This window comes from Homo sapiens, chromosome 16, assembly GCF_000001405.40.
Source record: "Homo sapiens chromosome 16, GRCh38.p14 Primary Assembly".
Taxonomy (NCBI): Eukaryota; Metazoa; Chordata; class Mammalia; order Primates; family Hominidae; genus Homo; species Homo sapiens.
In genome coordinates, this window is record NC_000016.10 from 81,772,060 (window position 1) to 81,784,724 (window position 12,665).

General features: G+C 49.5%; 1 protein-coding gene and 1 long non-coding RNA gene across 6 annotated transcripts in view, besides 4 other annotated features; both read left to right on the plus strand.

Moving 5' to 3' along the window:
* LOC105369213 (uncharacterized) overlaps positions 1 to 5,294 on the plus strand; it is a 38,313-nt gene extending 33,019 nt beyond the window's left edge. For both annotated transcript variants that reach the window (NR_189584.1, NR_189583.1), the window contains one exon: positions 5,113 to 5,294. This is a non-coding gene — a long non-coding RNA (uncharacterized LOC105369213). The remainder of the gene's footprint in view (positions 1 to 5,112) is intronic.
* The window catches only part of PLCG2 (phospholipase C gamma 2), a 223,645-nt gene that overhangs the window by 33,019 nt on the left and 177,961 nt on the right, over positions 1 to 12,665 (plus strand). The window contains exon 1 of one of the 4 annotated variants that reach the window (NM_002661.5): positions 7,232 to 7,365. The exons of the other annotated variants lie outside the window; for them this stretch is intronic. The gene's annotated coding sequence lies outside the window, so the exon portion shown is untranslated. Of the gene's footprint in view, positions 1 to 7,231; positions 7,366 to 12,665 lie in introns of those variants that run through there. 4 annotated transcript variants of the gene reach the window in all.
* Positions 6,725 to 7,019: a silencer, noted in NCBI's record as "tiled region #4151; HepG2 Repressive non-DNase unmatched - State 4:PromP, and K562 Repressive DNase matched - State 4:PromP". NCBI's record gives its function as "represses a minimal TATA promoter and a strong SV40 promoter by Sharpr-MPRA in HepG2 and K562 cells {active_cell/tissue: HepG2 | K562}" and the evidence as "EXISTENCE:reporter gene assay evidence [ECO:0000049][PMID:27701403]".
* Positions 7,048 to 7,317: a silencer, noted in NCBI's record as "silent region_7761". NCBI's record gives its function as "represses an Ori minimal core promoter by ATAC-STARR-seq in GM12878 lymphoblastoid cells {active_cell/tissue: GM12878}" and the evidence as "EXISTENCE:reporter gene assay evidence [ECO:0000049][PMID:35858748]".
* Positions 7,348 to 7,447: a silencer, noted in NCBI's record as "silent region_7762". NCBI's record gives its function as "represses an Ori minimal core promoter by ATAC-STARR-seq in GM12878 lymphoblastoid cells {active_cell/tissue: GM12878}" and the evidence as "EXISTENCE:reporter gene assay evidence [ECO:0000049][PMID:35858748]".
* Positions 7,458 to 7,537: a silencer, noted in NCBI's record as "silent region_7763". NCBI's record gives its function as "represses an Ori minimal core promoter by ATAC-STARR-seq in GM12878 lymphoblastoid cells {active_cell/tissue: GM12878}" and the evidence as "EXISTENCE:reporter gene assay evidence [ECO:0000049][PMID:35858748]".

A 12,665-nucleotide genomic window follows, 5' to 3' on the forward strand; every position in this document is an offset into this window, starting at 1 on the left:
GGTGTGAGCCACTGGTGCAAGGCTGGAAATAGGGTCTTTATGGAGGTAATTAAGTTAAGGATCTCAAGATGAGAACATCCTGGATTCAGGGTGGACACTCAATCAGAGGACTGGTGTTCTTACCAGAGAAAGGAGAGGGGTATTTGAGACAGAGAGCAGAGGGCCATGAGAAGACAGAGGCAGAGTTAGAGTGATGCAGCTCCAAGCCAAGGAGCGCATGATCACCACCAACCACAGAACCCGGGAGAAAGGCGTGGGGCAGATTCTCACCTAGGGCCTAAGGAGGGAACCAGTGCTGCTGCTGGCACCTTGCATTCAGACTTCTGGCCTCCAGAACTGTGAGATGATATATCTCTATTTTTTTTTAAGTCACCAAGTTCATGGTAATTTGTTACGGCAGCCTTTGGAAGGTAAGACACGGGGCCTGGTATTAAATAAGGGCTCAGTGTTTGTCCAATGAATGAAAGGGGCCAGGCACGGTGGCTCACGCCTATAATCCCAGCACTTTGGGAGGCCGAGGTGGGTGGATCACCTGAGGTCAGGAGTTCAAGACCAGCCTGGCCAACATGGTGAAACCCTGTTTCTACTAAAAATACAAAAAAAAAAAAAAAAGCTGGGTGTGGTGGTGCATGCCTGTAATCCCAGCTACTCGGGAGGCTGAGGCAGGATAACCAGGGAGGTGGAGGTTGCAGTGAGCCAAGATCATGCCACTGTGCTCCAGCCTGGGCAATAGAGTGAGACTCCATCTCCAAAAAAAAGAATGACTGAAAAGGCTAAGAAAGGAAGCTTGGCTTGCTGGTCTGTGGTGGGAACAAAAGGGAGACCTTCGGATGCCTTCTTGCTCTGTGCCAGCTGCCTGGTGCAGCCTATGACCACTGCAGGACCCTGCAGACTGCCTGCCTGACACCATCTCCCCTTGCCCCTGCCGACAGCTGCCCTGTTTGGCCACATACTCTTGGGCATCCTCTCATGATGTGGGGGAAGCTGATCCATCCTAAATATACTGCCAAATGTGGAAAATCCCATTTTCTTGGAGAGTGACTGAGGCAGAGCAGGCTTTGTGACCCATTTCTGGCCAATGAGACAGAGGGAAAGCATGCTGGGTGTGGGGGGGCGTTGGGAAAAGGTGTACTCTTTTCAGTCTCTTCCCTTTCAGGTCTGGTTGCCAGGAGTGGCAGATGTGGAAATAATCGGTGTCCCTGTTGACACACTTGAACTTCTCAGTGTACCTTGTCTGCACCCCAACCACTCCTGGGCTTCCAGCAATGTGAGATCATTGATAGCCTTTTTGTGGAAGCTGAATACGTCCTAGTGGAGACTCCAGACATGAGAACGAGGGGCTTTTGTCTTCAGCAGTGCAGATTGGGAAACTGAGGCTCAGAGACTATTACATTGTTGGAGACACAGGGGGGTAAGAGGCAGAGCTGGGATTCACACTGAGGCCCACCTGTCTCTGTGTCCCATGTTTTCAGCTGCTCTTGTACACTATTGCTCTTGGCTTTCAACTGGCTGTCTTGATTTTACATGAGGTTTGGGGCCTGGCAAATGCCTGGTTGCAGTCTGGTTCTTAGCATAACAGGGTCCGCATGTTGAGAGTTCATTGCAATGTAGTGACTACTGAGTCAGCTCCAGGGGTCCCATCTAACCAGGATCCATGCCCAGGACTTGGATATGCGTTCGCAGACTCACTCCTCCACAGCAGCCCTATTTACCAAAGAAGAAAGTGAAGCTTACAGCGGCTGCAAATGCTGTGCAGAGCTACAGAGAGTGAGCGACTGGGACTGGAACCAGCTCTGTCTCACTCCAAAGCCCCCTTTTTGTGTTCCTCCAACTACACTCTGTGCCCATCATGCAGGACTTTGATGGTTGCTGCTATATCCCTGGAGCCTGGGAGTGCCTGGCCCCTTGCAGGCACTCCGCAAATGTTTGTTGAATGAATAAATGAGCTCCACCAGGACTCCAGGTTAGAGGTGCTCAAAGCAAAACCATGGGTCGGGCACAGTGACTTATGCCTGTAATCCTAGCACTTTGGGAAGCTGAGGTGGGTGGACTGCCAGAGCTCAGGAGTTTGAGATCAGCCTGGGTAACACGGTGAAATCCCGTCTCTACTAAAAATACAAAAAAAAAAAAAAAAAAAAAAAAAAGCCAGGCGTGGTGATGCACGCCTGTAGTCCCAACTACTCAGGAGGCTAAGGCACAAGAATCACTTGAGCCCAGGAGGCAGAGGTTGCAGTGAGCTGAGATCCAACCACTGCACTCCAGCCTGGGCAGTAAAAAAAACAAAACAAAACAAAACCCACAAAACCATTAAACCGGGGGCTCCACCAAGCTGGCCACAATTTAAATAGCAGAGGGGTCTGCCCTCCCCTACCTCCAGAAGCAGTGAGGCCTAACCCCATTGAAAGCCCATTCTGGGTGGTACTTCCTCTCACAGAGGCCTGCCAGCCAGCAGCTGGGACTCGGCTCGTCGCCACGGATGTGTGCTTCTCTGAACAATGTTGGGAAAGGAAACTAGACTCAAGGGCTCCAGGGGGTTTTCTGGTCATTTTGGCTGTGGGGGTAGAGGGGTAGGGTTGGCGAGGTTCCCTGGGGCAGGGCGGTGGACCTCAGCCTGGTCACTGCCTTTGGAGGTGGTGGTGGAGGAGGGGAAAGGAGGTCTGGGTTTGAAATAACCCTCTAAGGGTGTTTTTTTTTTTTTGGTCAGGGTCTTACTCTGTTGCCCAGGCTGGAATGCAGTGGCACATGATCTCGGCTCACTGCCTGCAACCTCTGCCTCCTGGGCTTAAGTGATCCTCTTGCCTCAGCTTCCCGAGTAGCTGTGACTCAGGCTCACTCCACCAGGCCTGGCTAATTTTTAAAGTTTTTTGTAGAGATGGAGGTCTCATCATGTTGTCCAGGCTAGTCTTGAACTCCTGGGCTCAAGTGGTCCACCCTCCTTAGCCTCCCAAATAGCTGAGATTACAGGTATGAGCCAATGTGCCCAGTCCACAGATATTTTTCAAAACAGCTTTCTTGAGATATAATTCACATCCCATGCAACTCATGCATGTAAAGTGTACAGTACAGAGGCTTCAGCACATTCACAGAGCTGAGCAGCCATCGTCACAATCCATTTTAGAACATTCTTATCATCCCAAAGAGCAGCCCTGTACCCCTTATCTTTTACCTTCCGATAGGCCCGCTCTCTGCTTTCCTGGTCCTTGGCAACCACTGATCTACGTTCTGTCTCTGTAGATTTGCTAATTCTGCATATGCTATAGGTGGGTCTTATGATGGGGAAATTAAGTCCAAAGAGGGTGGCTGAGCAGCCCACAGCCATAAAACTAAGGAAGGGGCAGACTTGGAACTGGAGCCCAGATTCCTTGTTTCCAAGTTCATGCTTTCACAGGAGGTCTTCTTCTTCCCAGTAACAATTCCTAAAATAGTCAGCCTTGGTTTTGCCCCATGGGGATGAGGGCTTTACCTCCCTCATCTCACAGTCCCCCTCAGATGTAGGTACATTTCTGATACCCATAGGTATAATAATGAGGAAACTGATACCCAGAGAGGCTAATGGTCCAATGCACCATGGCTGCCAGCAAAGAGAAGAGGGTAATAGGGAAAAGCATTTGTATGCCCAAGGACTGGTGAGCAACACAGAATACAAAGAGTCAAGATGATTCAGCTTAAAATGTAATTTTCTTTCAGGTTATTCTTTCTTACCTATCCACTTCCCTTTTTCTTTCTTTTGTAGGAAAAGGAAAAGAAAGATCCCTCTACCCTTTGAGGTCACTTCCTGACCCATTTGTGCATCTATGTAGAGTGGTTACAAACTCACATCTCCCTGCCTGAATGCCTCTTATTAATCTGGGGATGGGTGGCAGGTCAGCATGCCCATGGGCTCTGACACCAGACAGGCTGAGGTTCAAATCCAGCCCCCACCACCCACTGACTTAACCCACTCTAGCCCTCTGACAGCTAACCTGTGACAGGGCCTTTCTACCTCATATGTCTGAACCCACAGAGTGGTTTCTTTCTCTCTCTCTCTCTCTTTCTTTCTTTTTTTCCTTCTTTCTTTTTTGTTTTTTTTGACGGAGTCTCACTCTGTTGCCCAGGCTAGAGTGCAGTGGTACAATCTCGGCTCACTGCAAGCTCCACCTCCTGGGTTCAGGCCATTCTCCTGCCTCAGCCTCCTGAGTAGGTGGGATTATAGGCACCCACCACCAGGCCAGGCTAATGTTTTTGTATTTTCAGTAGAGACGGGTTTTCACCATGTTAAGCAGGATGGTCTTGATCTTCCAACCTCGTGATCCGCCCGCCTCAGCCTCCCAGGGTGCTGGGATTACAGGCGTGAGCCACCGCGCCCGGCTCAGAGTGGTTTCTTTCCCTACCTATTTTATTCCATGGAAAAGAAAGAATACACAGAATGGTTCCTTCCCCACCTATTATCCTTGGGAAAAGAAGTGTCATTTTACATTAGAGTCCTCCCAGAACAGCGCCTGCCGCCTTGATGATGACGACGATTGTTAATTCTGAGATGGAGTCTTGATCTATCACCTATGCTGGAGTGCAGTGGCACCATCTTGGCTCACTGCAACCTCTGCCTTCTGGGTTCAAACGATTCTGCTACCTCAGACTCGTGAGTAGCTGACACTACAGGTGTGTGCCACCATGCCTGGGTAATTTTTGTATTTTTAGTAGAGAGGGTGTTTTACCATGTTGGCCAGGATAGTCGTGAACTCCTGATCTCAGGTAAGCCGCCTGCCTTGGCCTCCCAAAGTGCTGGGATTACAGGTATGAGCCACTGCACCTGGCAGATTATTTTTATTTTGAACAACCAAGTTAGAGTTTGAGAAAGAGATGAAGGGCCTCCAGTACTCTCTTTCAATCCACTGATTCCTTCAGTCGTTCACCTGGGGGGTGGGGTTGGGCTAGGGGTTGGTTAGCAAAAAATGAGCCAAAGAAGAAAATGAATTAAAAACATGAAAGAAAAAAAAGCAAACTGCCATTTACGATGACCATTATCTCACACACAGTGGACATTTTAACTCAAAAATACTATAGGCTCACAGGCATAGATTAAACAGAGAAACCTGTTCTTCATGTTCTTATTTTTTTGCTTGCTTCCCACAGATGAGAGAAAAATCCAGCCAGAATTGGCATCTGTCAAGATAGGCTTTTAGGAGCCACGGCTCCCTAGAGTGGTCTCCACACATTCTGATTATATGCAATCTCATTTTGCCATCAAGAGACTTAACCCACTCCCCTATCCATGTAGACTTTGTAATAATAAATTATACATATATATGACTGAACTAATATATTATGTACTTTATATAACACATACTAAAACAAAAGTGTGAAAAAGATTGGTTGAAATAAATACAAGCTGAAGTTCTAAAAAAAAAAAAAAAAAAAAAGTGAGGCAAAGGAATTGCCCCTAGATGTAGTCATTTTTCCTGGGGAATTGGCCCAATGACTTCAAGTGGTTGATGTCATAATGAGTCCTTCCAAGATCTCTTTAAAAAATTGATGTGTTAAGTGATCTGTGGTGATGAGCACAGCTATACACGCCAGTTGGGAGTGCTGAAAGAAATGAATCCACAGATCTTGTGAAGTCACAAACGAGTCCTATGGCTTGGGATACAACATTGACAGTGAGAGTGATATTCCTCAATTAAAAAACGCTATAACAGGCCGGGTGCAGTGGCTCATGCCTGTAATCCCAGCACTTTGGGAGGCCAAGGTGGGTGGATCACTTGAGGTCAGGAGTTTGAGACCAATCTGGCCAACATAGTGAAACCGCGTCTCTAGTAAAAATACAAAAAATTAGCCAAGCATGATGGCATACACCTATAATCCCAGCTACTCAGGAGGCTGAGGCAGGAGAATCGCTTAAACCTGGGAGGTGGAGGTTGCAGTGAGCCGAGATCGTGCCACTGCACTCCAGCCTGGGCAAGAGAGCAAGACTTTGTCTCAAAAAAAAAAAAAAACAAAAAAAAAACAAAAAAAAAAACAAAAAAAACCAAAAACACACACACACAAAAAAAACGCTATAACAGACCAGTGGCACATGCCTGTGATCCCAGTGCTTTGGGAGGTAGAGGCAGGAGGATTGCTTGAGGTCAGGAGTTCAAGAACAGCCTGGGACACATAGTGAGACCTCATGTCGAAAAAAGAGAAAATTAGCCAAGTGTGGTGTGCCTCTATAGTCCCAGCTCTTCAGGAGGCAGAAGCAGGAGGATCGCTTGAGTCCCGGAGTTCGAGGATGTGGTGAGCTATGATGGCACCACTGCACTCCAGCCTGGGTGACAGAGTGAGACCCTGCCTCTTAGAAAACAGAAGCTATAACTCAAGCAACTTGGAAGTGAAATTCAAGTGCCTGACAGCTGTCTAGGTGCCCCTGAAACTGCCTCTAGTCACAACAAAGATACCTCCATCAAAGAGCATAGGAAGGGTTTGAATCAGATAGCTTCATGCAACACACGAACGGAAAAATAAATTTCTTAAAGAACATATTAGCTTCTTCCCATGAGATCAGGAAAACGGGACATCAATTGTCTGGGGTTCTTTGCTCCTGACTCCCTTTGGGGCTGGCACTATGTTGATCACGTTTTACAGATGGGGAAACTGAGGCTGTCGGTTTTTAAGTGGTCTGCCTAAGGTAGCAGTAAGGGTTGGTCTGACTCCAGCGCAGCCTCAACGAGGGCTTCAAATTAGGGCCATGAATTGGCAATTCCTGGCGGGTAATTGTGAAGAGTATATTTATTTTTAATTTTTATTTATTTATTTTTGAGACGGAGTGTCTCTCGGCCACACCCATCCTAGCTCATTGCTGTCTCGAACTCTCGAGCTCAGACGATCCTCCCGTCTAGGCTTCCCAAAGAGCTGGGATGACAGGCGTGAGCCCGGGCGCCCGGCCGGGAGTGTGTTAAGTATACGGCAAACACCTGGACTGCGGCCGGCTCTCCAGGAATGCCATGATATTGGGGAATTCCCTTTGCACCTGGCCAAGTGGCCTCGGGCAGGTAGCCTCCCCTCGGGTTGCCTCAGTTTCTTCTTTGGCACGCAGAGGCGGGGCTCCAGGCCTGGGCCGCTCCATGGCGGGGAGGGCGCGGGGACGCTGCACTCGGGGTGCGCTCCGAGAGGCGGACCCGGCTGGGCGCGCCTGGGGCGGGGCGAGGCGGGGCGAGGCTGGGCGGTGCGGGGGGCGGCCCCCGAGGATCACGTGGCGCGGCGCCGCGGCCGAAGCAGAAGTAGCGAGCGCCGGCGGCGGAGGGCGTGAGCGGCGCTGAGTGACCCGAGTCGGGACGCGGGCTGCGCGCGCGGGACCCCGGAGCCCAAACCCGGGGCAGGCGGGCAGCTGTGCCCGGGCGGCACGGCCAGGTGAGCTGCCCGGCCGGGAGCGAGGCAGGCAGGGCGCCCAGGGACCTGCGCCCCGCGGGGACCGGCTCCCAGGGCGCTGCGTCCGAGGGGGTCTGCGTCCTGGCTCAGCCGGAGCGGGCAGGGACGGGGCGCACCCTCGGGGACCCCGGCCCGCCGTGCCCGGGGTCCGTTTGGTGACGGCAGGGATCCTGGCCCAGCCGCTGGCCACTTCCTCACCCCGGGCCGGCGCCACCTCTCCGGTCCGTGCGGTGGGGCGGCCCCAGCTTTGAATGGGGACCGGGAGGAAGGTCAGGGGTCGTGTGGGGGCTGGCGTTCAAAACTCCTCTTTTCGAGCGGCTCTGCGTGGGGTGGCGCCGTCTCTCTTGACGGCCCTTGTGCCCAGAGCTCGCGGACGCTCGGAGCCACACTTCCCTGTCTCACTTCGGTGGTTGCGGGTGGCGGGTGGGAGCGATACCGCGGGAGGCGCAGTCCTTCCCGGAGACTTTTGGAGAGCTTGCAGGACACTCGCGATGCCCGCTCCGCAGCTGTCTGCGTAATTATGCGTGTGTCTGTGCGTGTTGTGTTTTGTTGTGTTTTGGAATCCCAAAGAGGGCATTACCCGCACAGCGCAAGAGTTCAGGTTAAAGACGTGCCCCGTTTGGACGGGGAGCTCCTGGATTCCAGCAGGACGGTGGGGCGGGGCTCTCTTGGTACCCTAATCTTGAACTAGGGTGAGAAACTATGGGGGGCGGGGTGGTAAAGGGGTGACATGGCGCGAGGGAAACAGGTGGCCTTGCCCGTCGGAACTTAATTTGAATTTCAGTTCCATCAGTGGGACCCTGGGCAAGTTGAAGAACCTTTTTGAGTCTGTTTCCCCCTCTGGATACTGGAGCCACCCAATTTTCCAGGGCTGTGTCGAGAATTGGGGCTTATTGCTGTTCCACGAGGTTCGCTGAGAATCGGGGCGCATCCATGGAGAGTCCTTGGGCAGTTCCTGACTCTCTGGTTCAAGGGCATTCTCTGGGGCATGGGCCCTCGTCCTTGACTACAGTTCTGCGGGGAAGTTTTACAGAATTTTGAAGTCTATGCCAGCCTCAAGCAGTTTCTCTTGCAAAGGTGTGTGTGCAGTCACGTGTATACCAGCTCAGGGACAATCGTCATTGTGAGCCTCACTGATGTTTAAGTCACCTAATGATGCAGCTGCCTTCCCCCACCAGCGACTGGAGTATGGGCAGTTCCTCTGGAAGTGGAAAAGCACAGACCCCATGAATAGCCCTTTTGCACTCATTGGGTAGAGTCAATGAAAAGCTGCTGGTGAGAAAACTTTTGAAAACATTTCTTGGTCAGGCACGGTGGCTCACACCTGTAATCCCAGCACTTTGGGAGGCCGAGCTGGGCTGATCACTTGAGGTCAAGCGTTCCAGACCAGCCTCACCAACATGGTGAAACCCCATCTCTACTAAAACTACAAAAATTACCTGGGCGTGGTGGTGGCCGCCTGTAATCCCAGCTACCCAGGAGGCTGAGGCAGGAGAATCACTTGAACCCAGGAGGTGGAGGTTGCAGTGAACCCAGATCATGCCACTGCACTCCAGCCTGGGTGACAAGAGAGACTCCATCTCAAGACAAACAAACAAACAAACAAACACACACAAACACTTCTTAATTTAGAAAACAGCAAGAACACAAAGAGAAAAATTTGCCCGTTACATCATCAGTTAATATAAATAAAGTCAAGTTGTATCCTCTACCCTCTCCCAGCCTCCGATAAATAGTAACCACTCTCCTGGATTTACCAGAAGATCACCTTTATAAAAAGGGAATTGTATTATACTCATACAGTTGCAACTATTGTCTGAAGCTATTTTTTTATTGACCTCACAAATCTTTCCAGATCAAATTGCTTATCTATCATCCTCATTCTTTCTGATGGCTACTGAGCGTTCTTCAGTGCATGTGCACCATTATTTATCCAGGAGGCCCCCCACATTGATGAGCAGTTGTTTTCTGTTTTTTTTTCTTTTTTTGTATTTCTATTGCAACTATTGCTTCCGTGATTTTCTGTCGTACATATTGCATCTTTGTGCATGTCTTTCTTTACATGTACAATTGCAGGATCGAAGCATATGCGTGTTTTGCTTTTTAGTAGCTGCTCACAGGTTGCCCTAAAGGAGCAGGGGTGGAATTTACACTCTCACTTGCAGTGGCTGACACCATTCCTTTGAAAATAGTGTATTCCCTCTAATGCTGCAGGGTGGGTGTAAGGTGCAGCAGTAATGTCCCTTGAACTGTTGGAGGGGCCCTTACCACTCAAGTATTTGCCTGTGCTCCATTTTAACACAATTGTCTTGTGGGATTTTTGGATGAAATCCTGTACTGGCTTACCATGCACAGAGCACTGAAGAGACAAAAACTTCCTTGATTTCTGGTTTTGGGTCCTCGCATCTCATTTCATGTCCTTTCCCCCCCCCCCCCCGCCCGCCCCCGAGACGGAGTCTTGCTCTGTCGCCCAGGCTGGAGTGCAGTGGCGCGATCTCGGCTCACTGCAAGCTCCGCCTCCCGGGTTCACGCCTTTCTCCTGCCTCAGCCTCACGAGTAGCTGGGATTACAGGCATGTGCCACCACACCCGGCTAATTGTTTTGTATTTTTTTTTAGTAGAGACGGGGTTTCATCGTGTTAGCCAGGATGGTCTTGATCTCCTGACCTCATGATCCGCCCACCTCGGCCTCCCAAAGTGCTGGAATTACAGTCATAAGCCACCGTGCCTGGCCCATTTTATGCCTTTCTAAATAAGCTTATGAGATACAAGAACATGAATGAGCTTATGAGATACAAGAAAAACCTTTAGAAGGACATGAAATGTAAAAATGGCAAAAATCAGTTATTCAAACTCAGCCATATTTGTATTTACAAAATAAGTCATTTTATAGAATTACCCATTAAGAATGGGAAACAGGAACAAAAAAGGGATTTCAAGGCTTTTTTTTTTCTTTTTTTGAAAAAACCAAAAAAAGCAGAAGCAAAATGGAAGTTGCTGTGGTGGCTGGTGCTCTCTCCTGGGCTCAAGGTCTTGGAGACCTCCCTGCCATAGTTGATAAAGCGTGGAACGCTGGAGACCTGAGCTGGGTGCTGGCAGGATTTGAATGGTGGACTCCAGGGATCTTTTGGCCGTGAAGATCTGTTTCCAATTGCATCTCATAAGCTCATTCATGTTCTTGTATCTCACAAGCTTATTTAGAAGGGCATTTCGTGAGATACAAGAACCCCAAACCAGAAATCAAGGAAGTTTTTCTCTTCAGTGCTCTGTGCATGTTAAGCCAGTACAGGATTTCATCCAAAATCCCACAAAACGATTCTGTTAAAATGGGGCACAGGCAAATACTTGAGTGGTAAGGGCCCCTCCAACAGTTGAATGGACATTACTGCTGCACCTTACACCCACCCTGCAGCATCAGAGGGGATACAGTGTTTTCAAAGGAACGGTGTCAGCCACTGCAGGTGAGAGTGTAAATTCCACCCCTGCTCCTTTAGGGCAACCTGTGAGCAGCTATTACAAAGCAATTGGTGAGACGCAGCATGGAAGTCTGGTGTTTATGGCTGAGTTGATCCACTGGGCTTCGAAGCTGGAAGTAACTGGGACCCTGGGGAAGGTTAAGTCCAAGGCCCTCCCAGAGTGAGGGCTGGAAAGAACTGAGGAGCCTGGTCCCTTGTCCTGGTTTCTGTCTAATTGAAGGTGTTATAATGGGGCTTGTGTTTCCTACTTATGTTCCAGTGGACTATGGCCTAGAGACCTGGGAGTGGGGAACTCCAGGATGCATGGCTGGGAACAGTCAACATAGTGAAGAGCTCTGTGGTTGGCAGCTGGGTCAAATCCAGTTTCAGCTACTTTTTTAAAATTTTATTATTATATTATTATTATGCTTTAAGTTTTAGGGTACATGTGCACAACGTGCAGGTTTGTTACATATATATACACGTGCCATGTTGGTGTGCTGCACCCATTAACTCGTTTTGCTACTTTCTATCTGTGTGACCTCGGATAAGTCCCTTAACCTCTTTTGAGAGTGGCAAGTACTGGCAAATCAGTTAATATCTGGCCAGATGCTGCCACAGGATTCTGGACTAGGGGCTTGGGACTCAGGTGAGGGTTTTGATCTTTGTGCTGCTGCTGGTCTACATGACTTTGATCAAGTAATGTGACCTCTTGGGATTTCAGTTTTCCGCTGCCGTATTTCCCATTGAGATAAATGAGACGAACCAGACACAACAGGTGCTTGGCACCTGGGGAAGGGCCCAATAAATGGCTGCTTAACAAGGATGAAATGGACCATGGGGGCACCTTGTTCATCCCTTTGTCCTGGCTAATGATCAGGAGGTCATTTTGGGTTTCTCCTGATAAGGTAAGATGCACATTAACTCTCAGCAGGGTTTTTTTTTAGCATACTCTGTTCTGCCTCCTAGCCTTTGCTTAAACTTAAAGCCAGTTCCTCCTGCTTCATCTTTTTTGAAAGATTGAGTTCAGATGCCTGCTTTTTTCCCCTGAAAGCTTTTTCTGAGCCCTTTAAGTGCCTAGCCACACTCCAGATTAAATTTAGGATTCCTTCTTGCTGCTCTCTGCCCGCCGTGCCCCCAGTGCATGCTTCTGCTGCTGCACTTGTAACTACATTAGAATTCTCAGTTGATTAGTCTGTTTCCCCATGGGCAGAGAGCAGGTGTAATTATCTCCTGCTGCTGGCATGGCTGACCGAGGAGGTCCCTTTGGTATGGGTGTGCAGTAGAGGGAGGTGGGGGCAAAGGGCAAATCCTGGGCCCCTCCCCATTCCCCTCATTTGCATCCTAGTCCCCACCTCAGTGCCTGGCATAGAGTTGACATTTGATTAATGCCTTCCCCAATGGCTGATTAATGCTAACTGAGACCCTGGTAAATGCTGCAGGCTGTGCATACATTGTAGCTTTTTGTCTTCCCAGCTGCCCCTTGTGGGCATTTAACCTCCATTTTACAGATGAGGGAACCGAGCCACAGATTTAGAGCAGCTTGGCAGAAGGCTGAGCCCGGCTGGAAGCACAGACAGCCCTGGCTGAACACCAGCCTCTCACTCCTCCTTCTTTGGATCCTGGGAGGGTCTCTCTAGTGCTACTCTGTAACCTTGAGAGCTACAGAGTAACAACTCCAGGCACCTCCAGGGACTTGGAGGGAAAGGAGGAGATAAGAAACAGAACAAATAATGGTAATTTTAACAATAGCTTAATCTAAGGAGTGCTGACTTTGTATCATTGTTTTAAGGGCCTGAGATACATTATCTTGTTTAAGCCTTACAAA